We start from the raw sequence: 27,902 nt of genomic DNA, 5'->3' as shown, positions 1-27,902 counted from the left end.
TCCTCTATGCAGTCATAAGTTTGCCTTTCAGAGGAACGTAGCATAGACTTTTTGTCAAACTTCTAGGTATGCACAAGGACAGAATTCCTTCCTCAAGAATTTAACTTTCAGGTGTCACCATATAAAAGCCAATACTGGAAAATTAAGTGTTGTCACTGTTCTAAGAAATGCCCTGGAAGGGAGGGAAAGGGCAAGAGGTGGGGCTGAAGAAAATCCCAACTCAATCTTCTCCCTAGCATCCTCATCTATTTCTGTGAGCAGAGGGCCTTAATCTATAACTTCTCCCTTACAGGAAAGGAACAGTGACACAACTTACAGCAGAGGCCCAGATTCTTTTCTTCAAAGCAGAGGCACAAGCAAGTCTAAACATCTTACAGTAAGAAGGAAACCTTTCAGAAAGATCACAATGTATTTTCTATCCATTTATGTGACATGTTTGCTGTTATTTTGCTTTAATGGAATAGGTCCTCAAATTGACTCTTCAGTTACATCATGGTGTACAACAGCTAACACATAATGGACTGAAAAAAATAAAACTACCCCTTAAGTGCTTTGTGGATGTTAGCTGTTATTTGTTCTGCTACCGTAGGAACGTGTGTGTGTGTGTGTGTGTGTGTGTGTGTAATGGGTAGGTGTGACTGGGAAAGAACTTGACAGGCTCACACTCCAGTGATCTAAGCCTATGGAGGCAAAAATCTCTTTATGCTTGGTCAGATGAACATACATACATATATCATATGTTGCCTCCTGATAACAAAATTCTTGTTTTTAACAGCTTTCCACAAAAAAACTAGTCTGTGGTTCTTATTTCTTCTACCCTGCAATATACTATGTTAACTGCCAAGTGCAAATTAATACACTTTCTTGTTTGGTGTAAATACAGAAGAACATGAAGCACTCTTCTCCAAGGCTCTCTACTTGTTATTGCTCCAATCATCACTAATGATCAATTCTTTCCTCATGTGGTAGGATTGTCAATCTTCCTGGTAAGTGCTGCTAAGTAGCTTTCTAAAGCCATTCATATTCATGAACCAAAATAAGGGCTGGTTACAGAAAAGATAAGAGGAGGGGACAGGCCTGTGGGCACTCCAGGGGGTGCTACATAAATATTGGGATGTGAAATGACAAGGAAGAGGAGGGAGGCAGGAAAGAACGCAGACCACACCGATGGCTGCAGACCACACTGATCGCTTCCCCTGCAGCATGTGGTCCAGGTGAGGACAACGCAGGGGTGATAACAACTTGACCCCCCAACACACACACAAAGCACCCTGCAGAGTTGACAATCCTTGAAGGATGTTTTCATTTGACTCTACTGCCATGACCATCATTTGTTCAGCATTTCAAAGAAACTGGTAATATTGCTTAGGAGAGAAAAACTTCCAATTTATGTCACACTGCTAGAAAAATAAGAGTAGATGACAGTAGAATCTTTGTCACCCTGATATAACAGGGTAGCTTATAATCTTTTCTAGCCCAGCAACTGAGAGCAACCAGTCACTAAAAGAAACAGGCTGGATGCGGTGGCTCACACCTCTAATCCCAGCAATTTGGGAAGCCAAGGCAGCCTAGGGGTTTGAGACTAGTCTGGGCAACATGGTGAAACCCCGACCCTACAAAAAATACAAAAATTAGCCAGGCATGGTGGTGCATGCCTGTAGTCCCAGCTACCCAGGAGACTGAGGTGGGAGGATCACCTGAGCCCAGGTGGTCAAGGCTCAAGTAAGCTGTGATCATGCCACTGTACTCCACAGAATGAGAACCTGTCAGAAAGAGGAGAGGGAGGAGGGGGGAGGGGTAGGGGGAAGGGGGAAGGGGAGAGGGGAGAGGAGAGGAAGGAAAGAAAGACCACTGTGATCAATGGCTGTAAGTAGCCTATTATTAGTTTACAAGAGTCAGCAAGTGGGACCAGGCCAATTATTTTCCAATTATTTTGTAAAAGCCAAGAATTTCCATTTATCAGTTATTTTTCACTTCCTAGCAAGGACCTAATATTTACAGAGGTCTCACAAGGATGTGAAAATCAGTTGAAAGTCACCGAAAACTCCTAGTTCATGCATTCATTTTAGGTAAAATTTTTAGTTCAGAGACAGTCTTACCTATTTATGTTTTGACTACACTTTAAAAAAAGAGTACACAGCAGCAATTTTCCACATGGTAGGACAGGCCTGTCTTCCAATTTTACCTAAAATTTTTAATTGTGGTACATCGCATACATAAAAGTTTATAAAATATACATATACAGTTGAAAGAATAACATTTTTAAAAAAGGAACACTGCCATGCATCTGCCCCTAATCACATTCCTCTTCTACCCCTACGGGTATCCGGACTTTCATTCTATAGTTTTACCACCTATGTGTGTAACAATATTGTATGCCATTTTATTTGTCTCAAAACTTTTAAATAAATTGAATCGTACTATAAAGTATGACCCATCTTGTCATTACAATATCAGGAACTTAAACAAGGGATATCATTGAGTTTGTTGTTATTTGAATATTCTATTTCAAATAGAGGTAAACGTTATCTAGATGTAACTTGGAGTGAAAATTTTCATGTAACATCAATATTTTATCAAAGTATAAATGCTTATTATAAAAGTAAAAATGCTACAATAATTCTGAAAGCTATTAATTTTATATATAACAATGTTTTCAAATAATTCAATAAGTTGGAAAACAGAATGACAATAAACATAAAACTCAGTACATTAGATAGGTATCTTTAGGAAAATATTCCCTTTTTGAGGGAACAAATATTTATACAAATTTAAATAATAACGTGAGGCAGAAAACTCTAGATTACACCTTAATTCTAATCTTTACAGAAATGTTTGGTATACTAACATTCATAGCATTAAACAAAGTGAGCTTTAGGAACCATGTTTAATTTTGAGCTATTTAATTTGATTTAGGACATAAGTCATCAAGAAAAAGTACTAACAGGAACTTTTTTTTTTTTTTTACCTCCAGTGAAAATGAATTAAAAACCAAATGTCAACCTTGCTGCCTTAAAATTTCACCAGAAGAAAACAGAACTCCAAAATCATATGTATTCATGCTAAATCAGCTTTGATCCACACACCATAAATAATAGAAAGTTCTGGCTGGATGCAAGGGCTCACATCTGTAATCCCAACACTTTGGGAGTCTGAGGCAGGAGGATCACTTAAGCCCAGGAGTTTGAGAACAGCTTGGGCAATATGGTGAGACCTTGCCTCTACAAAAAAATTTTTTTAATTACCTGAGCATGGTGGTGCACACCTATAGTCCCAGGTACTCAATGGGAGGCTGGAGTGGGAGGACTGCTTGAGCCTGAGAGGCTACACAAATAGACTGCCAACCCTTTTAAGTAGAAGAAAACAAATATCTGCCCACGTTCTGAGTCCTAGGTACAAAGTTCCTTGTAGAAACATGTTACTGGAAAGTTTTATTATAAATTTTAGTTAATGAAATTAAATGTGCTGCTTTTCTTTCCTGTACTTAGTCATGGAGACATAATCAGAGCCTTTTTTAAGTGTGAAAGCAAAATACAATGATCAATTCAACAATGCTAAAAACATACCTGATTGAAGAAATATTAAAGACAAAAGTGTTATGCAATTATCAGTGACAAATAGGGTGAGAGAACGATTTAGGAATCATCAACATTCAGTGTTTCACTCACACTTTTCACCTGCTGGCTATGAGCTAAGAGGGTGGGCCACTCTCATAATTCTGCTTCAAAGACAAGCTATCAGAGAACATCTGCTTACATGAGATGTTCATACAAGATGGAACAGCACTTAATACATTTTATATAGGCTGTTTGCACAAAAAAATAGTCCCAAAATTATGCTTTGGAAGTAACAAAACCAACATAGCAGGACTTACTAACAACAGTTCAATCGCCAGAACTGCTAAGAAATAACCAACTTATGTGTCCTAAGCATGCAGACTTCTTTTTTTTTTTTTTTTTTTTTTTTTTTTTTGAGACGGAGTCTCGCTCTGTCGCCCAGGCCGGACTGCGGACTGCAGTGGCGCAATCTCGGCTCACTGCAAGCTCCGCTTCCCGGGTTCACGCCATTCTCCTGCCTCAGCCTCCCGAGTAGCTGGGACTACAGGCGCCCGCCACCGCGCCCGGCTAATTTTTTGTATTTTTAGTAGAGACGGGGTTTCACCTTGTTAGCCAGGATGGTCTCGATCTCCTGACCTCATGATCCACCCGCCTCGGCCTCCCCAAGTGCTGGGATTACAGGCGTGAGCCACCGCGCCCGGCCGCATGCAGACTTCTTACAAGACAAGCTGTGAAGATCTTCCACTCATTCTGTTCTAGAGAAAATGTAAAAATTTATGTTTATGCAATGAAAACTGATGTTCAGAGACACACTTGTCATGAGAGCCATTACTCCATCACCAAATTTCTAGATCCAAAATGTAAGATCTCAAGTGACTGTGTGAAGGAACAAGTGCATGCTGAAATATTTTTGAAAACGCACACAAAATAAGGTAATATAAATGAGAAAGTATTCAGAAATTATCCGTCGACATGCACAAAACTTCAGTTTGTGAGATAACTTCAAGGAAATGGCATCATTGCCATAAATTAATGAAATTTACAAGCTCAGGATACTGAGAGGACAGAGCTTCACTTCAGTCAGTTACTATTAGAGAGGAAGGAAAACTTGACATCATGGCAGCTACATCATAATCAGCACATTCAATACTAGCAAAAATAGTTGGAAAATATCTTGCTCCTCCAACAACCTCCGTTGACCAAAGTAAGTCCATTTACTGTTATAGATGTGCATTATGGTGACTGCAAAAGCAATCTACCAGATAACCATGCTGATGAACTATTGTTCTTGCACTGTAACATCAACATTTTAAAGCTTGGTTACTAAATTTCTAAATAGAACTGTAACAACTGCAATTTCTTTGTTATCCCAAAAACTTATTCTATGATGGTGATATAGATTCTCAGCCTCATATTGATTTTAACACTAGGCCATTTGGCCTTCAGCCAAAAGGTATACTAAATATACTTCTAGTTTTAACTCGAATATCCCCAAGGTTGGCATCTTAAGAAACTGAGTTTGAATTTAAAATGTAATTCTGAATACTGTTCAAATATTTGGTATAAAATAAAATGAGCTGATCCACGGACAACATTAAGAATTCAAAAACCAAGTCAATAAAGACTTCTGGGAACAGGCCCTGGCAACTCACAATACAGAGACTTATGTACCATTCAAGTAAGTGCCAGATTTCTCTGTGATGTGTTGTATTTATAACCTTGCATGCTAAGTTAAGGGGGCAGAAAGCCGCCCCACCTCTTAAAATGTCAAGGAACCATGGTTCTTTATGTAGTGCTTTCAATAATACCTTCTTGTCTTGCTATATCTAACCCTTAAAAGCAGCTAATTAAATGTAGGTCCTGCCGAGGAATTTGTTAACCACAGAAGACTCTCAGAATAACTGTGGAAAGGAAAAAAAGAAGTAACAGCGTATGAAGACGGGAGAAATATTTCAAGTGGTCAAGATAACGTTACTGTTGGAAGCCTCCAGGGGAGGTCTTTCACTGATGTTTCCTGACATACCCAGCCCCTACCACCACCACCCCTCAAAAGACACAGGGGTGTGCACAAAGGTACTAGTCATTTGATTCCAGGAAGCCAGGACACTTTCTGTCTAAAGCTTATTACATGTTAAATTTGGTGGTAAGCACAGCTTTCCATCACATAAATCACCCTATTATCAGCAGAGGTGTTCTCTCTTGGTGACACTGTCCACACCCTCTACCAGGCACCTAACCAAGCAGTCCCACAGAGCTTGGTTTAGTTCAACAAGCCAAGGGGATATGTGTTAGAAAATTGCTTAGCAACAGCTAAAGTCACACTGGACACACCTAGTCACAGAGACAAGTTTTAGGCCTGCCTTCCACTTTCCCTACTTAGCTCCCCCAGGAGAATGCACAAAGACATTTACTCAAGCAAAGATGGCTAGTGTTCAGAGACAACACAGGGAACATCACATACTACTGGATACAGCCTCAATGTTACTCTGACTGAATCACTTTAGTCAGTCACCAGTGCGATCTTTGTGCTTTCAATTCTAATCACCCTGTTTCTCTCTTTCCCAAAACATGAATAAAATTCAGTGTTCTAAGACCTCTACTGCAACTAAACAGACAGGAGGGAAACTCCATAGGTGAGGTGGGGCAAACCGCATGAGGCTCCTGGCAAAAAGTCCAGAGGAGGCCAGGCCACTCATGTTCTCTTCTCACTGGTGGAAAAGAATTGGCCAAATAGCTAACATCCTCTGGGGGATAAGTGAAAGAAAGTTAATTGGCAATCTACTGAAGAACACGCTCTAAACAACATTCAGCCCTCTAGGATGTCAATCTAGTTTTTCTGCAGAAAGTGGAATGAGATTTTTAAAAAGATCTTTTTAAAACTATCTACCATGATCTGTACCTTGCCAAGTTTGTTCACAACTTAGTTTCCAGTTAGAAGAAAAGCCAAATTCATCACACAGTCATAGACACACTGTTCCCATTAGTAATAGGATAACCCAGTTCTTGGTAGCATATTTGTGCTATTCCTGGAGACACTGCCAAACACCCAAAGCAAGCTAACAGTACCTGCCCTGTATGCTTCACAAGGGTATGATTATTGCAATCTGAAAGAATTTTTTTTCAACAAAAGCAAGTTTGCCTGAAGGAAAATGAGCTGTGTAAACAGTTAACGAATTAGGAATGCCACTCCATATGTACAGAAAGTGTTCCAAGAACACTGGCTTATTCACTAAACCCTTACTGCTACTGCACAGGGTTTGTGTGCCAAATTCTGTGCTAGTCACTTTCATGTATTGTCTATTTCACATTTCTAAAGGTAATAACCAAAATCTGGATCATTTGAAAGATCCTACAAATTTACTTTATAACAGAAAAGTCATACCTAGAATAATGTCTTTGTCTGGTTGTGTTGCCATAAAGGAATCCCTGAGGCTGGGCAGTTTATAAAGAAAAGAGGTTTATTTGGTGCACAGTTCTGCAAGCTGTACAAGAAAGAAGCATGGTGTCAGCATCTGCTTCTGGTGAGCACCTCCGGAATCTTCCACTCATAGTGGAAGGCAGAGGGGAGCTGGTTTGTAGAGATCACATGGTGGGAAGCAAGAAAAAAAGGGAGGGAGGTACCAGGCTTTTTTTTTTTTTAAACAATCAGTTCTCACTATAACTAATGAAACGAGAACTCATTCATTACCACAAGGACAGCACCAAGCCATGCATGAGGGATCCGTTCCCATGACCCAAACACCTCCCACTCTGCTAAGTTGCTAAATCCTATCAATAACATCAGTACTTCTTATCTGCACTCTCAGATACATCTGACACAACAGACCAGTCCCTAAACCTTGAAGTGCTCTATTCCCCTTGACCTATGAAACACCATACTCTGTTTTCCTCCTCTTTCTGCCTGCTCCTTGAAAATCTCATTCTAAGTAGACCTCCTCTTCTACGCAGTCAGCTTCAATTACTCCTGTCTCTATGGCAATATAACATACTCGGCTGCTAAGACAGAAGCCTGCTCATATGTGATCAATGACCAAGTCCTGTCACTCTCATGACCTGTGTTATTGCAGTGGTCTCTATGATCCTTTACCTCTTTCCAACCCACCCTCCATCTCTCAAGTGGCAGTCTTTTAAAAAAGAATTTGAGCATGTTTCCCTCCTTATTGCATCATTCATAAAATAAAGCACTGGCATGGCATGGCAGAGATTATTAGCTGCCTACCCCAACATCATTTTTTTCCCCTTTCACTTTAGAACCCTGACTTTCAGCTGGGCACACTGCCATCCAGAATAAAAGACTCAATTTCCAGCCTCCCTTGCAGCTATTTGTGCCAAAGTTCTGGTCAATATGATTAACTAGAAGTGAATTAAAAGATTTCCAGGAAGTCTCTGTGAAAGGGCAGGGTCTGTGCCATCTTCCTTCTTCCTGCTGTTTGGACTAGAGGCATGATGAATAGTGTTCATTCTGGTGGCCATCTGGACAATGAGGAGATAAGGGTGGCAGAGCAGCCAGACAGAGAAGCCCAAGTTTCTGATTACCACATAATTGTCTTACTAACTCTGGATTGCCTCTCTCCAGATCTACTGTGTTATTCTGGGTTTCTCTATCCTATGTAGCTGAATCTAATCCTAAGCGGAAGATAGGGTTTGCAAGGTCCTTAATGATTTGACCTTTTTTACCTTCCACTCTTTCTTCTACTCCCCCTAACACGCTGCTCCAGGAACATGGAGCATTGGGTTCTCTAACATACCACATCTCTTGCTTGTAAGGCCTTGCGCTTTTTCCTCTCATACAACTTCATTTCACCAACTACTTTTTCTTTCTCTTCCACATCTCAGCTAAGACCGGCGATTTACAGGCTTTATGAGCCAACGGGTACTTGCGAAGATAAAAAAATGGAGCCTCTTTCAGACTAGTTCACCACCCCCAAAAAAACAAAATGTTTGCTTACAATTTACTTCACTACATTGGAAATGTCATTCACAGAATATAAAATTCATCTTAGTAACAGAAGTCATTCATTTCCCAGTGAAAATTAATGTGCAAATAGAGTAAAAAATAAACTTTACCTCTCTCCAAACTAAGTTTCAATGAGAAGGCTTCTGTTTGGCTTGAATAAGAAGCTGATGCTGTGATGTGGTTTGAGATGATTACGTGCATACCATCTTTAATTGCCATTCCATTTTGACTTTTCTTTTTGATGGTCACAAGTGCTGAAAACCCTAATGTGCTCAAAAGCAAGCTTCCACAACTTTTGTTCTGTTAGTTGTATGCAGCCTGTGCTACAAACACCAGAATTCTCTAAGACTGAGAGCTGAGTGGTTCATGTGTGTCCTGTATCTTTGAAAGTCAATAAGGTCATCTTTGCAGAAGTCTGCATCATTCATACAGGATTGCACCATCCTGGATGTAAGGCTCACGGATGCAGAAGAAGGTGAATTACAGTAATACGTGGAGCTCACTCTCCTCCTCTGCAGCAGGACCAGAAGTGCTGGCTAGCATCACAGACACTCTACTGGCATACAGAGCACCAACACCTCGTCCAGCATGTTTTGCTTGGCTTAGACATGTTATCATTTAAAAAACACTTTCAGAAGAGGTTCATAAATCTTTTTTTTTTTTTTTTGAGGGCACTGGCATGCAATAGCTGGCTGCAGTGAGAAATGTCTGAAATTCCAAGGACATGCTAAAGGGAAATTATGTAGTTGCTGTTTCCTCCGTGACCCGATTCAATAAACTACATCAATTCCAGCATGAATGATATCATTTGACAAAAAGCCTCCTTTTAAATCAAATGAGACAGTAAAATATAGTAAGTGAGAGAGAACACAGGCTTTAATGCCAGGCTACCTGGGTTTCTTAGAATCTACCACTTACTATGGCAAATTATTTAACTGCTCTAAGTCTTTTTCATTTACTTCATTAATTCGTTATGAAGATAAATGAGATAATGCATATAAAGTGCTTAGCAAAGTGCCTGGCCCCACAGTAAATATTCAAATGTTGGCTGATATTATTACTACTTCACTGATTCAGACACACTCCCTCACCCGTACCCAACATTTTAACATCTCTGAAAGCAGGATCCACCATATAACCAATAGGTTCTTACAATTAATTGGTTGATTTCTTTTCTTTATTAGTGGTACATAAAAGGTGTAACTTATAATCAATGGCCCAAATTTGATGAAATATAGTATTGAATTTCTAGGTTTCAAGTCACGAACTAGCTGAATGATCTCCCAGACATGGGCTTCAGCCAAAGTTTCTCTCCAGTCATGTGTAGCCTGAGGATGTTAAGACAGAGGTCAACAAACTATGGTCTGTGAGAGCTGCCACTTGTTTTCATAAAGTTTTATTGGAACATAGCCATACTCATTCGTTTACATATAGTCTACGGCTATTTTCATGCTACCATGGCTGAATTGAGTAATCATCCCCAAATTGTATGGCCTATAAAACCTAAAATATTTACTATCTGCCCCTTACAGAAAACGTTTGCCAACCCCTGATTTAAGAAAGCCTTCTGGAAAAAACCCAAGCTTTGATAATATTTCTCCCTTTTCAAACCATGCTTCTTCTCCTAAAATAGCTCCATACTGCCTGAGACGCCTCAGGATGGCCAGAGAAAAGAGGGTCTCTCTAACTAAGGCTATATGTTGGCTTCGTGCTTCCACTGGCAAGAACGCTGCCATATAAACAACCCCCTAGGCTTTTGTATGTTCTCAAATTTCTCCAGGAAAGCAAAACCAGTAATATGTAATTGGTAACAGAAATCAGGCAATTTTCAAAACAACAGAAAGAAAACTTGAGATTTAAAAAGGTTTTTGTGGCCGTGCACAGTGGCTCACGCCTGTAATCCCAGCACACTGGGAGGCCGAGGCGGGCGGATCACCTGAGGTCAGGAGTTCAACACCAGCCTGGCCAACACGGCAAAACCCCGTCTCTACTAAAAGTACAAAAATTAGCCAGACATGGTGGCGCATTCCTGTAATCCCAGCTACTCAGGAGGCTGAGGCAGGAAAATTGCTTGAACCTGGGAGGCAGAGGTTACGGTGAGCCAAGATTGCACCACTGCACTCCAGCCTGGGCAGTAAGAGCAAGGAGGAAAAAAAAAAGGCTTTTGTCCACTAGTGAGTCATCAAAAGTAATCAAATTCATACAGACAGAAACCAGAATGGTGCTTGCCAGGGGATTAGGGGAGAGGGGGTAGAAGGGAATGGGGAACTGTTCTTTAATGCTACAGAGTCTCAGTTTTACAAGATGAAAAAGTTCTGAAGATTGGTTGCCAAATAATAAAAATATACTTAACAACACTGAAGGATACATTTTAAAATAATTAAGATAGTAAATTTTATGTTATGTGTATTTTACAATTTAAAATTTAATTTAAAAAATATTTTGTGTGTGTATGTGCAGTCACACATGTATGCCCCATCAAGGAGTTCAAGAACCAAATGGCAAAACTATCACTTCCTTTAGAAGCCATTTGTGACCCTCAGCCCTAGTAGTGAATCTGGTGCAGCTCTTGGCTTTGGGAGCTACCGCCTCCTATCACAGCAATTCTTACAGTCTCCAAACTGTCTGCTAAGTTCTCTGGCTCTATTATAAGACTGTAAACTCCATAAGGGCAGAAACTTCCACCTGATACTCCCCACCATATTCATCATCTTTAAACGAACAGGTTAGCTCCCCAGCGTTGGCAGCACTCAAACATTTGTGAATAAGCGAATAAATGAATAAAACAAACGGCTATTAATTAATGAAATCTGTTCTCTGAAAATTATTTCTTGTCCTACTTTTAAATCCTTAGTTTAAAATAAAAGTGGTTTGATCACTGATTAGAAACCAGATTACAACCACCCACTACTTTAATTCAAAAAATAAAATACTGGATCAATAGACGTTATATACAAGTTTGATGAAAGAAAACCTAAATAGAAAACTTTGTTTTGCATAAGAAATTTTATAGGTCATAAAATTAGTACAGGAATTACAAAGCAATCCCCCTATAATAAACAAATAGAATGAACAATCACATATCACAAGCCCGGAAAAGCAAATTTCCTAAGAAAGTTTTTTGTCTTCTACCACTTATAAATTATAAGCAAAGCAAACTATCAGATCAAGTACATATTTTTATTTTCCCAGCTATTAACTCCCAAATCTTTGGGGTTTTTAAAAATTAATTTTAGGGGCGGGCACGGTGGCTCACACCGGTAATCCCAGCACTTTGGGAGACAGAGTCAGGTGAATCACAAGGTCAGGATATCGAGATCATCCTGGCTAACATGGTGAAACCCCATCTCTATTAAAAATACAAAAAATTAGCCAGGCATGGTGGCCGGCGCCTACAGTCCCAGCTACTCAGGAGGCTGAGGCAGGAGAATGGTGTAAACCTAGGAGGTGGAGCTTGCAGTGAGCCGAGATTGCGCCACTGCACTCCAGCCTGGGTGACAGAGCGAGACTCTGTCTCAAAAAAAAAAAAAAAAAATTAATTTTAATTACTCTAAAATAAATGTTACTAACACTATGGAAAGGAAAACACGAAGGCAATTTTTCCAGTGATGGATGAGTCCTCACAGTCCAAAGGCAAAAATTTGTAACATTTTTACATGTAAGTAAAGAGGTCTTTTCAAAGAGCTAGTTAGAAATCTTGGCACCAACACTGTCCTCCAAACAGCTACATACACCAGTACTAACACAATCATTCATGCTCAATATCCTTCAATATAATCTGCTACTTCAGTTACTAAAGTCAGCCTTAGTAAAACTCTAAGCAAAAACCACGTATTTGTGAGCCAGAATCATAAAAGTCACTCATTTTCAGCCTAAATTTTGCGCTGTCCTCTCTAGGAAGCCAAACTTGAATAGTGTGCCTTTTTGTTATATTAAAGCATCATAGCAATTCAAAATCCAATGACCAATTACTACAAATAAAAGGTTAGTTCTCTATTAAATGTTTCAAACAGCAGTTAATACAACAGCCAATGGAAAAAAGATCAACCTGCTAATAAATAAAAATCAAAGAAAAATCTAGAAATTTAAAAATATTTTTCATCTCAACTGGCAAATATGTTTTAAAGTGATAATATTAAATGCTTTAATAAATACAGTGAGATTGGCAATAAAACAGACTGTAGGTCTCTACTCAAATGTCAACTTAGAGACGCCTTCTCTACCCAGCCTATCTAAAATATTACCTCTACCCCTTCATTCTCTGTTCATCTTTCTTTTTCTTCATTCACTTACCGCTACTTGAAATCACGTTACATATTTTTTATTGTCCACTTCTTTACTAGATTGTAAACTAGAAACTAGATGAATGGAGGGTTTTATCATTATGGTTCTCTACTAATATACATACAGTTGGTGCTCAAAAAACAGCTGTTGGACCAACAAATTAATATGAATGGGAGTGCAAATTGATATACTTTCTTTTTTTTTTTTTGAGATGGAGTTTCACTCTTGTCGCCCAGGCTAGAGTGCGATGGCGTGATCTCAGCTCATTGCCTCCCAGGTTCAAGTGATTCTCCTGCCTCAGCCTCCCAAGTAGCTGGGATTACAGGTACATGCCACCACGCCCGGCTAATTTTTGTATTTTTAGTAGAGATGGGGTTTCACCATGTTGGCTAGTCTCGAACTCCTGACCTCAGGTGATCTGCCCGCCTCAGCTTCCCAAAGTGCTGGGATTAAAAGTGCTGGGATTACAGGTGTGAGCTACCGCGCCCAGCCTGATATACTCTTTTTAAAAAACAATCAGAAATACAAAACAAAACCTTTAAAAAGTGCATATCCTCTGAAGAAAACACCATTTCTGAACATTTATTCTTAGAAAATTCAGAAATGCAAAGTTTTATATTCATTACACGGTTTTAATAACAGGAAAAAATCAGAACCAACCTACCCAACTATAAGAGAATCCCCAGAAGTAACAGGAGCTGATATGCTCACACTACCGTGAACTACAATATTTCCTTCAAGTGATTAACTGAATCCACTGTCTTATTTTCCACCATCAAAAAATTAAGAAAAGACATTTCCAAGGTTTTGCCATGCTTAATGATAGATGATCAAAGATCCTATGATGGCCATCAACCATCCTTCCTAAAATTTCACCCAAATTTTGACAACTTAATGCCAAGGACACTGTGCAAAGCCTCCTTGGCCCACTAAACACCACATAATGAACACACACCAACTCTTTAAACATCTCCACCTCCATACAATATGAAAACGGGTACTTAATTATTTTAATAGCTACAATAGTCCTCTAAGACAAGGCCTACCTCTTACATTTATCTTGAGTTTGGTAGACATAAAACCTATAAACATGGTTGGAGTTGCTGGTTAAAGGTAATTCTACATATAACCTAGGGCTTTCAGTATGTGAATCTAGATATCCTTCAATAAAACTCATTAAACAAAATAGTCACCTAAGCATGTTCATAATGTTGTTTATTCTCATTGACCTGACAGACTAGAGGCCTCCTGCAATCCTGAAGTTTAAAGAATTAGCTAAAGTGTATCTTTGCAATAACAAAAATTTGTTAGGCTAGATGAGTTATTTAATACAATGAAAACTGCAGACTAACAACACATTTGATAAAGAAAATTATAAGAATGTAAATATGGTTCTTCTACTTGATAGGATATCTTGCTAAAAATAAAAACAAAGTATTAAATTATTCATGAATCATAAATGAAACATACATCAAATTAAGTACACTGATAACAAACATATAAAAATATATTTAAAACCAAAGGCAAAGAATAAATATGAAAGTCACAGAATTTTAAAAAGCACAATCTAGACTCTTAATTCCATTGTTTTTACTGTGCCCAGCATAATACCTGACATAGAGGAGGTACTTCATAAATATTTGTTGAATGTGTAACGATAGCATCCTTTGCTGTGGTTGAGCCTTTGCCAAAATGCCTGGCACACAGTAAATGCTTTTATGAATATTGTTAATAATCCTCACTAAAATCCTATAAAGTAGGTTCTTTTATTATTTCTACTTTTTATGAGTAAGGAAACCGACACTTAAAGCAGTTAAATAACTTGCCCAATGTTACATGGTTAAGGAGTAATGAGGCTAGGACAAATCTCTTAAGCCTTTTTATCTCACTGCCATTACTAACAAATTGGAAAAAAAAGTGTTAAATACACTGAAGGCAGAATGAATTCAAAATGTATATGTAGGTGGTCTTTGTAATGGTAGGATTTTTTAGTGATTTACATAGAGCTTGAAGTAATTTCTCAGATACCTGTTGACTGTGCACTTGGTTAAGAATATTATAGCTCTCTATCATAAAATTAGGGATTTTAAAACTATAAAAATTCACACAATAAACAACATAAATATACAGAAATTAAACCACAAGCTCAGCTATCCCTGAGAAATGGTGTTAAAAATAAAAAATTTAAAAACAGGTAAATGTCAAAGTAGCCATTTCAGTAACAGTGACCAAGAACCACGAGAAATCTGTATTTCCTATGTAATTTGGGGTTTCACACTGAGGAATTTAAAGCACAGCTACTCCCTACTTGCTTCCTAAAAAATGCATCCGCCTAGACTGCTATAAGGCATAGGATCGTCCATCCTGTGTTTTCCAGCATCTTATTTCAGCCAAAATGATCCCCCAATTGACAATGAGCTTGCAGCATGGCCCCCACTACCTTGCCTACCCTCATTTCCCACCTATTTGCATTCTTATTCTCCAGGAGTACTATAAAAATTATAGTTCTTAGAGCACGTTCTGTTCTCTCATGCCTGTGGGCCTTTGCATACCACATTCTCTTAAACCTGGAGTATCTGCATACCACATTCTCTTAAACCTGGAGTATCTACCCCTGATTTTTTGGGCAAACTCTTACTCATACTTCAAGTCTCAGCTCTAACATTACCTCTTATCCTTAACTTGATTAGGACTTCACCAACTCACCAGCTGCTCCTTCTCCTGCTACACTGAGCACATATACCAGAAACCCACTTATTTAATTATTTAGAACATCTGAACAAGTAGTCAGTTAATTTTAAAAATAAGTGCAAGCATAGAATCATGAAAAAGTTTTAGACACATTAACTGTTTTAACTTTTTACAAATAAGTCTACATTCATTCACCAGGGTCTTTTCCTTATTTATAGCACGAATCTGTTGACCCAGAGCTGTGTGTCATCTTTCTTAAATAAACCACATCAATAATATACATTCTGTGATTTTCAGTTTCAGTTTCTTCCAAGTGGACCAAGAGCTTAGACATTTGTGAAACAATCTGCATGCAGAAGAATCATTCTAGATTTATGAAATTTTCCCAGTCTTTCTTAGTTGTCACACCTATTCAACATTTTTTTTTGCTATTACTCTTTATCCAAGTTTCCCAAAGCATTCAATTCAGTTTTCTTAGAAAGAGCTTTTTTAAACCCATTTCACTAGTTTGTATAAAATTTAATTATATTATGTCATTATAACCAAGATAACTAGCATGAACACATTTGAGAACAAGCACAACTGACTTCGGTAAGCAAGCCACTCACTTTGGTGGGAGAACATATGCATAATAAAAAGTAGACCCAAGGCCAGGTGAGGTCACTCACACCTACAATCCCAGCACTTTGGGAGACCTAGGTAGGAGAATCGCTTGAGCCCAGGAGTTACCAGCCTGGGTAACACAGCGAGACCTTGTCTTTATAAAAAATTTGAAAATTAGGTGGGCATGCTGACACGTGCCTGTAGTCCCTGCTACTCAAGAGGTCGAGGCAAGAGGATCCCTTGAGTTCACAAGTTCAAGGTAACAATGAGCTATGGTCACACCACTGCACTTCAGCCTGGGCAACAGAGTGAGACCCTGTCTCTTTAAAAAAAAAAAAAAAAAAAAATAGACCCAAGCATTCTGAGAATGGAGAACACCAGTTATTCATTCTCTCTAGGTAGAAGCCTGTTAGTGAAATATCTCCTGAACCACATTCATAGCTATTACTCAGTTGCACAATAAACATATTTTTGTGCAAACATCTCCTCACTAAACCAAAAGTTCTGAACTGGCTTGCTATTGCATGCCTGTGTTATTGATTCCTTCAGCCCTCTAGGCAGCTGGGCAGGGCTGGAGGCAGCCACAGCCTCCTTCCCAACTAAACGGCCTCTTACATTTACCCTACTCATTTTCTACGGGAAAATTTGGGAAACACTGTATGGTCCAAATTTTAAGTTCTTTGAGGGGAGTGACTGTCTTTATTTTTGCATTCCCAATAATTAAAATAAAACAGTGGGTATTTGATAGGTCTGTAGAATAAATGTAATGAATAAAGGAGACTTCGACAGCCTCACATAGTGACTACAGATAAATCAGAAAAAAGTACTTCAGACAGGGAGATGTGACTGTTGGGGGTAAGCCTGGGCCAGAAGAGCAGTGATGGGAAATTAGTCTTCTAAATTATTTTACTTATTTATGAATTTATGTTTTATCTCTCCCACTAGAATAGAGCTCTGTTAGTATTAGGCCCTTGACTATCTTGTTCACTTGTATCTCAGTGCCCAGTGCCTATCACACAGTAGCTAGTCAATAAATATTTGTTAAATGTATCGTGGGAAGAACTTCAAAGAGAAGTGAGGGTATTTTAGGCTCTAAAGGAAGGAATGGAGCCTGCTCTACTCTACCCAAAGATGGAGAACTGATGGAAAGGCCATACTTTAAAGACTTTCAAGTTTCTTTCAAACACTGGTGGTAACTGGTGGGTGTTCTACAATACATCATAGTGATTAGGAATGCGGGCTCAGGTAGACCTGGGCCTAAATTCTGCCTTATTAGCTAAGGAAAATTGTGTGGATAACTCAATCCCTCTCAGCCCCCACTGTGTCTTGCATTATGAAAAAAAGGATAACAGTGAGCTCCTAGAGTTATCTGAGTATCATGTAAGAAAACACATGTAGAAGAGTTGAGAAGAATGCTTATTAGTGCTGAATAAATGTTTGTTGCTATTGTTATTACTACTGTTGTTGATAAGCACATAAAATATGCCACATTCTGTGCACTAGAGATAAACATAGGGATGTACTCCTTGTTGTTACTACAGGATACCAAAGAACCAGGTCTTAGGGCCTGACTATCTACACCTGGTTCATCAGGGCCCCTTCTCTTAGGTGACTTACTCTGAACTTCAGTTTCCTCTTTTGTAAAATGACATAACAGTACCTATCTTCCAGGTCTGTTATGAATATTAAATGAAATCACAAACATAAAGGATTCAGCACAAAGCCTGACATGTCAGTACCCAAACACTGGCAATAATCATTAACTACAGAATATAGAGCTTTGCATACACAGCTTTTTACAAAGTTTTAAAAAAGGAAAAATGCTTAAAGCTTTGCTTCATTAAAAACCAAAAAACCCTTTGAAATGGTGTTTCTTGTTCTTTTGAAATAAGAGAATATTTTCCAATCTGCTGTTGGCATTAGGACTATGTACGATGAAGACACTTGTCTTAAATAAGCCCATCTATAAATAGAAATCTGTATTTAATGGCCTACTTCTACTTCTTTCCATATTTAGTCTAGTCACAGGTATTCTCCTGGCACATCCAAGTTTCTTCTCAGCTATCTTTCATATATTTTCACTTCTGACCTTGAAAGAAAAATTCCATCAGTACTCTTAGTTATTACCTTGTCCTTCCTTTGACTCAGTGGGAATTTTAAAAATGAGATACAGTAACAAATTAGCTTGGATAGCTTTATAATGTTTCTAGTTAAAAATAGTGTATCTTTGCAACTTTTTTGTAAATCAAACTATTCTAAAATTAAAAGTTGATTTTAAAACACATATTGTAAGTTGCTTCTCACTTATTCAATGCTCATGTGTTAACCTACTTACAGCATTTTATTTCTTCCTCTTGATATATTTGCCTCTCAAACTCATGTAACTACTGCCCTTTCATTAAAAATTGTAGCAATTTCCAAAATGCTAAAGAGATGTAAAATTATAATGCTCCCAACTGTGCACTTTAAACCTGGAAAACTAGAGAAGAGATGACAATAAAAGAATTGGCAGAAAACCCAGATGAAAAAAACAAGAAATAAGTAAAACACTGTGGTTACAGATGGCAAACGATCCTACAAAGTAGATGGTACCTATGAAGAGAAGGTACCAACTGCTCCCTAAACCTTACTGTATCTAGAATTTTTATAGAAATTTTAAGAAGTTCAAAGACTTCTGAGTATTTTTTAAGTGTAAAAGGTAAAAGTGATACACAGATGGTTTAAAAAAATTCAAACACTACCAACAGTTATGTATATTCATCACCTTTTTATAGAAGTCAGCTGAAGTCATAAAATTAGTCAACCTTGTGGAACATCTGACCCATATCCTTATCAGCTAAGAAGATAGTTTTAAAAGAACACTCCACTTTAGTATGATTAGAAAGGACAAAGGTAGATGACTCAGGGAGCTGGAAAGGTATGCTAACAGAAATGGAGTTCCAAATACCAACCTGCTTACGTCACAATCTGTTCCAGTAAAGTCCTTAGTAAAGGACTCTTTACTAAAATCATCTTGTATCTCCCTTCTTGTTAGCCTGCCTGTGGGCAAAAGAAGTTTCAGAAACTTTAACACCATTTCTTTAACACCATACTTTCTCTGTGGGGTGGAAATTGGAATTGGAGGGACTGGCAATGTTCAAATAGTAGTATTACCACCTAAACCCACACTCTGATTTTCCTAATGAATTCAATTCTGTGGGACTGGACTGTCCTCTACTTTGGACACAAAGGCAGTAGTTAGAGACCCTGGTCCAACAATAAAACCGGGAGTCTATCAAATCAAATATGTAACTGCCATTAAAGTTCCATGTATTTGCTATTGCTATTTCTAAAGTGAAATTATAGACATGTAACCAGTATGGAATTAATAATCATGGGCTTGTTGTCAGTTCCTTTATCAGGTCCCCATTTCTGAAAGTCCTGTACACGAAGGAATGTGAAGGAAGGTAATCCCGAGGGAAATTCAAAAACTGTTCAATTCATCATGAAATCAAAAGTTGAAGCTTTGGCAATATTTGCTAAATTAGTATGTCTGCTTAGTGTCAGTATTTCTATATATTACTGTTTTAAAACTTTATGTCAAAGAAATGATGAGACTCTTTGGTATTCAGCCATGTCCTCAGAGCCATTTCTTTAAATGCCACTAATTCCTTTTTGTGGAATACTTTTTAGAATCTCATTTGTGTGTGTATCTCCACATACACACAAAACAAGTCTCTAATGGCTTTATCATTGGCTAGTTGCAGCTGGGAAATCTTCACATGCTCAAAGCAAATCATCCTATATGGCATACTATATCAGATGCTTGGCCAGATTGCCTCAAGATTTTTTTCTTTTAATGTGCAAACTTTAAATGCACAGTGTACTACGGTTCACCTTCAGAAAAAAAAATGCTATGTATCTGTACTCTGCACACATAAACTGTAACTTCCTCAGACTTCCTTATAAATAAACAATAGCTTTTAATGTTTTTTGTATTGATAGACTAAGAAAAAGTCTCAGCAATTTTATGGAACAAAACAAAAAATCCATTGGAGCTAAATACCACATTGATGCATGCTATTCTCTTCATGCCAATTCTCTACCCTATGACCCTACATAACTCCTCCCTGTTCACAAATATACCTTCACTCTTTTGATCCTATTAAATATTGAAATGAAAAAGTCGTTTTTTTGTTTTTTTTTTTTTTTTGAGACAGGATCTCACTCTGTTGCCCAGGCTGGAGTGCAGTGGTGATATCATAGCTTACTGTAGCCTCAAACTCCTGGGCTCAAGTGATCTTCCTACCTCAGCCTTCCAAGTAGCTGGGACTACAGGTAGATGCCACCATGCACAGCTAACTAAAAAAAAAAAATTTGTAGAGGTGAGGTCTATGTTGCCTGTGCTGGTAAAAAAGCCTTCTTTAGAGAATATTTTGTATAGAAATGAAAATACATCACCACCAGGGGTCAGTGCCAGCCATGTGACTTCAACAGGTTTTAAATTAGCGCTCAAGAGAACTCGTCAGCTCCAATACCTTCTTGAACAGGCCCCGTACTTCCTCGTAACTCTGATCTATTTCCCATCCCTGTCCATGCCCAACGTGTAAGCTTGGCCAAGACCAAGACACTCTCATAACCTCTCTGGAAAACAATGAAATGGTCAAATAAGCTACATATGCTGGCTTGTCCTTTCTTGCTCTAATTTAAAACATTAACCTTTATATATATATAAAAATTTTTTTACTTATGTAGTTAAATATCAAGATAATCTTATTATTACATTTAGTTAACATTTACAAAGAAGGAGCAGAGCATTATCCATAACGCTATAAACTGGGTTCTTATTAGCCATAATTCATAAAACATGAACTCAAAAGACTTCTCACAAAACATCTATGTACTCACTGAGAGCTAAAACAAAGCATTCAACACAAAAGGTAAGAACGAGTAAAACCTCACAATATAAAATTTCAATGCCTATCTATAAAATATGTCCTTCAATCTAGTATTTATGAAAAACTATTTTTATCTAAAAAGTGGTTAAGGCAGGAGGATCACTTGAGGCCAGGACTTTAAGACCAGCCTAGACAACATAGGGAGACCCTGTCTCTACAAAAAAAAAAAAAAAAAAAAAATTAGCTGGGCCTGGTGGCACAATGCCTGTAGTCCTGCCTACTCAGGAGGCTGAGGCAGGAGGATCCCTTGAGCCCAGGAGTTCGAGGCTGTAGTGAGCTATGACTGTGCCACTACCCTCCAGCCTGAGTGACAGAACAAGACCTCATCTCTAAAAGAAAATAAAAAATAAAGATAAAAATTAAAAGTGATCATCTGAAATGACAAAGGCATATGAGGTCAGTTTTCTGAGGGCCAAAGAAATAAAGAAAGCTACCAAAGATGTTCTGAAAATACATACACTAAAATGGGGTCAGTAAATAGGCTAGATAATAAGTATTTCAGGTTTTGTTACAAGCCATACTGTCTCCACTCCAACTATTCAACTCTGCCATTGTTGCAAAAAAGCAGTTATAGACAATACATAAATGAATGTGTGGGTGTGTTCCAATAAAACTTTACTTACAAACCAGGTGGCTGACTCTGCTAATTGTCAACTCATACACAAAAATATAGATCCACTGGTATGACAATGTTTATGTCACACCTTTGATATAAGGCTGACATGAGAAATGTTACTCTAAATGGCTGTTCTTCCACAGTAATTTCTTTTTACTTAGGAATATAAAATATTATTTGCATTTTTTTTAAAAAAAGACCTATGTTCACTTTTAAAAATTACATTTTGAAAGGAAAATTGATCTCTATAATAATCTCTAAGACCTGAGAAAGGAAACCTATGGGAAAGAGAAGAGTAGGACGAGGAGGCTAGAAGGAGGAATCCAAAAGAACCAAGGTGAACAAACATTAGCTCAAGATTTGTATTCTCAGAACTATCTGCAAAAGCTGGTAACATGCATATCGTATATAAAACACATTTGTGCCCTCAAGAAACTCATGACGTAGTTGAAGAGCAAACTTATTTTTTGCCTCTGCATTCCAAAATTTTCAAGATTAAGGGCATATGGGATTGCAAATACATTTTCTGAAGAAGCTTAAAACTTATGCTTCAAAATAAAGACACTTTTAATGAAGACTTACACTTTTATAAACAGAAAAAGACGGCATAAAATCATGTTACATCTAGAATTTATTTTATATTTCTATTCTTTTGTCCTATATCAATTCTGTATTACTATCAGTAACTATGGCTCACTACATGGGCATAGCCTCCTGAAAGAATTTATCAGAACTTTCCTGGGAATGGGGTAGGGTAGTACTGAACCGAAAAAATCCCATGATTCCTCTTCTCCTTCCTTCTCCACCCTCTGACCCCCACTTCAAGAATCCCTACTATATATCATGATCTCTCAAAGTACAAAAGATAGATTTCTCCACTGAAAAAAACTAATTCTTGAACCCTAAAATATATTGAACATAATAAATCTGCGTACCTTCCTTCAAGTAGGCTCTGTCTCCGAAAAGTTAAGTTTGTACAGTAGAAAACAAAAAATTCCCAGGTCTGCAAGCAAGAATTAAGACCAAAACCACTGTCAGGAACAGTGGTTCATGTCTGTAATCCCAGCATTTTGGGAGGCCAAGGCAGGTAGATTGCTCGAGCCCAGACGTTTGAGACCAGCCTGGGCAACATGGCGAAACCCCATCTCTACAAAAAAAATACAAAAATTAGCCAGACATGTTGGTAAATGCCTGTGGTCCCAGCTATCCAGGAGGCTGAGGTGGGAGGACACAAGCCCAGGGAAATAGAGGCTGCAATGAGCCTTGATCATGCCATTGTACTCCAGCTTGGGTGACAGAGTGAGACTGTCTAAAAAAAAAAAAGAAAAAAGAAAAAAGGAAACTACACTTCTACACCCAGGTCCATCATAAATTATATAAGTGAGGTTACTTAAATTAGGGTAATTCCTAAGCAAAAGTTATAAGTGTTTCGGGGGGGCGGGGGGGTGTGGGAATAAATAGTGCCTAAATTTATTATAATTTTAGGCTGTTCCCAAACATTTTTAAGAATCTGACTGAATTTACACCTACTTATTTTCTTAAACAACATACCTATCCAGAAGAATTCTAACTCTTTCTTGGAAGAAAATACTATTAAATCTACTACTTAAAAGTAGAAAAATAAATCACAATTCATTCACTAGGGTCAAGGAAATTAAAGACCAAAATAGACCCTAAAAAAAAATGCATATTGTAACTGTTAAGCATTACAGCCAAGAGGAATTTTAGCTTTAACATCAAAAATAAGAGGCTCCTCAGAGAGAACATTACGTGAGATTTTTATTTTTTAGCTTTTTTTTTTATAGTGAGAATGTTATGTATAGTTTTTAAAACATTAAGAACTGAAAGACATTTTCCACATATGCAAATAAACGTACCTCTAACTAGGAACTATATATATAATTTTCTCATTAGGAAAAAACAAGAGAGATTCATTAGCTTAAGCTATGATAAATAGTATATAAATTAATGAGTGAAGCTGTATTCCAATAAAATACAAGAAGAGAGCTTTAAGGTCTGGCTAAGCATCCATGACCCTACGGGCAATGAGAAATCAAATGTTTTGGGAGAGAGAAGGAAGAAACAAAGTAAACGAAGCTCTTATGGGATATTTAGTGCTTTGCAAAAGTCATTTCATATCCAGGGATACTGGGTACTGCCACAGGGAGATCAGACTGTTAGAGGACCTCAGCAAGACTCAGAGGTCTAAAAGAAGGGAAAGGAGCTGAAGGCTGTCTCCATAGTTTCAGGATGAGGGGTCAGAGAATTCAAAGCAAGTCCTGTCTTGTCTCACATGATTGTTATAGGTCCCCTACACTACCCAACCGTCCTAAGTTAAAACCAGTGCCCAAGATTACCCTACATTTTCCTACATTTTATCTAAAACTTACCGAATCTTCAGGGGGTCTCTGGATTTTTCCCCAATCCACAGAAGGCCCCTTTTCTTGCAAAAATCTATGAAATAGCTTCCGAAATCCATCCAGGTCTTTTTTGGTGTGCTGTGAAAATAGAAGTCATTGTTACAACCAGCAGAATGCTTAATATTTAATAAAAACATAAAGACAGATACAAGTTACACATTTAAAATATCGTTAAATGAAATTCTTACACCATTAGGACATGGAGGGAGCAAGACTTTTTCACATCCTAAAAGCTAATACAGGCTGGGCGTAGTTGGTGCATGCCTGTAATCCCAGCACTTTGGGAGGCTCAGGCCAGCTGATCGTTTGAGCTCAGGAGTTTGAGACCAGCCTCGGCAATATGGCAAAACCCGGTGTCTACAAAAAAAATACAAAAATTAGCCAGATGTGGTGGTGTGTGCCTGTAGTCTCACCTACTCGGGGGCTGAGGTGGGAGGATCACTTGAGCCCAGGAAGTTGAGGCTGCAGTGAGCAGAGATTGCACCACTGCACTCCAGCCTGGGTGACAGAGTGAGATCCTGTCTCAAAAACAAACAAAAACAAACAAACAAACACCATTTGTTTAATGGGAATTCCAACTGGCTCTGTACTTTTTTTTTTTTTTTTGAGACAGAGTCTTGCTCTGTTGTCCAGGCTAGAGTGTAGTGGCGCAATCTCGGCTCACTACAAACTTCACCTCCCAGGCTTAAACTACCCTCCCACCTCAGCCTCCCCAGTAGCTGGGACCACAGGCGCATACCACCATGCCTGGCTAATTTTTGTATTTTTTGGTAGAGACAGGGTTTCGCCATGTTGCCCAGGCCAGTCTCAAACTCCTGAGCTCAAGCAATCCTCCTGCCTTGGTCTCCCAAAGTGCTGGGATTACAGCTAAGAGCCACTGCGCCTGGCCGCTACACTTACTTACCAATATCTTTCTCTACTTCTCAATGAAAATTAATCTTCACTAAAAGAACAAAAAGAAATAAAACACAGCTAGCTTCAAAACATTAAGTATAAATTGAAATATAAAAATGAAAATACTAACCTATTGATTTACAAGTAAAAAAGTAAATGCCTCCCAGTTCTGGAAAACTTCTATGACAATTGTCAAAGTAGCATGGTTCTATCAGAAGTGACTCTCTGGAAAAGGCATGCAGGACATATGAAGCTAACTTCTCTCAATTACAACTGAACACAGGTATGCATTTCTCCACCCAATGACATCAAAACACAGAACAAAGTATAATTTGGTTCTGATTATTTTAATGACTTTGAAAACTTCCTAGGCTTAAATGAAAAAAAGATAATGGATTTACAAAGGGCAAATGTTAAAAGCCGGTAATTGTTAAGCAATTCTAATTTTTTTGTTTTTGATGTTATCGTACATCTTGTGCTGATTTGAGGTGATGATTATCATCATCACCGGCAGCAACTCAGCATGAAGACAGATGAAGGGAGGGGCGGGGGGGTGGAACACTGTAGAAACCTCCTTACCTCAAATTCATGTGATGATGCTGTGGTGAGTATTTTTTCTAGTTCCTTCTTCACAGATAATTCTAGCTCTTGCCGAATGACTTCTTGGAACTGAGAAGCACCATCTTGAGACATTGCTTTGCTAAGATCTTAAAACAAAAACATAAAACCACCAACTGAAAACTCCAGGAAGCCATTCAAACAGCTGGTAAGCTATAACTGATTTCTGGTATTCAGCAAATGAAAAGGGCTCAATCCCAAGGTCCCTTTATCCTGTGGCAGTAATTCAGTGGTGTCAACTAGTTAGGACTCGTTTCACTCCAGTTTCATATTCTCCACTAAACAAGAACCCCTTGAGAGGTATTGGCAATTCCAAGGTGCCTCTACTTCCCTGTATCGACGTTTTCATTTTAAAAGGAGAAGGGCATAGGGCTGCCTGCCATCTTCTGGTTCCCAATTTCAGCCAAGACTTTCCACTGCTTACGTGTGTCAGACTAGACTTTTAATGCTTTTGGCATAGCCGGGCACTTCTGTGACAGATGGATCTCACTAAAGGTGACGGAAATCCCTCTTAGATAAATACAAACAACAAAAATAGAAAACTACAGAAAAAGGCTGGGCAATGGCAGCTCATGCCTGCAATCCCAACACTGTGGGAGGCTGAGGCGGGTAGACCCTGGAGCCCAGGAGTTTGAGACCAGGCTGGGCAACACGGCAAAACCTCATCTCTACAAAAAATACAAAAATTAGCCAGGTGTGGTGGCGCTTGTCTGTATTCCCAGCTACTTGGAAGGCTGAAGCAGGAGGATACCTTGAGCCGAGGAGGCAGAGGCTGCAGTGAGGCGAGATCGCGCCACCGCACTCCAGCCTGGGTGACAGAGGCAGATCCTGTCTCAAAAAGAAAAGAAAAGAGAAAAAAAAAAAAAAAAAAAAACAGAAAAAGAAACACCCCAGACCCAAACACTTTGGCAGAAAAATACCAACACAGGCTGTTTTATACTTTATCTAGAAAGTAATCATCTTATTTACTTCTCATAAAATAGGGACAACTGGATTATTTGTCCACCCTTCCCCTTCTATCCTTAGTATTTGATTCAATCTTATTTTAAAAATGTATTTGTAAAGTTTCTATTCAAATAGTTTGATAACTAGTTATTTTTACAAATGCCTGTTAATTTAGCAGAATCACATTTCAGTAAGGCTAAAAACTCTTTCCCCTTATATACTCCACCTACTATAAATTCTTTCACTTATATTTGAATAAAAGACATTTATACAGATAGAATTAAAGACAACATATAAGATAAAACTAAATGTAACTACAAAGTTTAGAAGTAACTAAAGTAGCTGTTTGAGATTTGTCTAAATGAGAACCATTTGAAAACAAAACAAAACATTTTAGAAGCTCCCTCTGCAGAACAATAACTTATTAATTTACATGATTTAAGGTCAAAACACACAGAACCCAAGTCACTATCCTATCAACCCAAGCTAAGAAAGGCTGGCTGAAAGACTCACATTTAATATTGCATGTGCTCTCTGTCAACACAGGTCTAAGTTTCAGAGGCAGACTTGAAAAAATCCCAGACACAGGATCAAACTCGAGAAATGTCTCTAACCTTTGTTTCTTTCTTTTGTTTGATACAGCACCAATGCACATGAAGAATAATTTGTTTTCTTCCACCCTCTTTATAAATATAATCGGCTTAAACAAAAGAACATTACAACAAGCCTGTCACCTCTTCTACCCCTCTAAAAGCTCTGTTTTTAGTGATTAAAGAATCAGGAAGGGCTTGTAACGAATAAAAAATATTCAAGAATAAAGAATAAGGAAGAGTGCTTAGACAAGAAGCGTAGCTATCTTAAGCATCTGGGCACAGACCAGGAGGCACAGAGCAGGGAACCATTTCCCTTAGTGGTGACTTCTTCATCCATCCTGAATTTTTTAAGAAAGGTCTGAAATTTCTGGTAGGAAAAGTAGTACAGATGTTAGAAGCTTTCTTGGATTTAACATTCTCAGGTTACACTTCTGACAAGGACAGTTGTGTTTCTAAAGGAAGGTCAACTAAAATCCTCTGAATAATCCAAGATTTCTAACCTCATGAAGTGTTTTGTCCCTATTGCCTAGCAATATAAAATTGATTCCCCACGCCTTTAGACATAGAGTGGATTGGGAGTCAAACATTTCATTACCTTAGTCAAACATTTTTATAGATGGGAGGGAGCATTTAACCTACTCTCATCATTTTACAGACGAGGAAACAGGTTGAAAATAGTTGAATGACTTATCCAAGGTCACAGAGCAGGCCAATGGTGGAGCCCAGAAGCAAAGCCATGTTTTTTTAGTCCCATTCCACCACAGTGAGGCAGAAATACCTTGCTAAT

The 27,902-nt window shown here is 38.2% G+C and overlaps 1 protein-coding gene across 9 annotated transcripts in view; it reads right to left on the bottom strand.

Moving 5' to 3' along the window:
• Positions 1–27,902, bottom strand: part of UGP2 (UDP-glucose pyrophosphorylase 2) — a 50,592-nt gene that overhangs the window by 9,589 nt on the left and 13,101 nt on the right. For 5 of the 9 annotated variants that reach the window (NM_001377525.1, NM_001001521.2, NM_001377524.1 and 2 more), the window contains 2 exons: positions 25,539–25,666; positions 24,036–24,143 (listed from right to left, as the gene is read on the bottom strand). The exons of 1 other annotated variant lie outside the window; for it this stretch is intronic. In NM_001377525.1, the coding sequence (NP_001364454.1) occupies positions 24,036–24,143; positions 25,539–25,652 (222 nt within the window). In that variant the 5' untranslated portion in view covers positions 25,653–25,666. Of the gene's footprint in view, positions 1–19,043; positions 19,132–24,035; positions 24,144–24,253; positions 24,423–25,538; positions 25,667–27,902 lie in introns of all 9 variants that reach the window. 3 more of the 9 variants (NM_001377529.1, NM_001377526.1, NM_001377528.1) reach the window with 2 other exon arrangements.

Source organism: Homo sapiens, chromosome 2 (assembly GCF_000001405.40).
Source record: "Homo sapiens chromosome 2, GRCh38.p14 Primary Assembly".
Lineage (NCBI taxonomy): Eukaryota > Metazoa > Chordata > Mammalia > Primates > Hominidae > Homo > Homo sapiens.
Note: the sequence above shows the minus strand (reverse complement) of the source record. Positions and strands in the feature narration are given on the sequence as shown.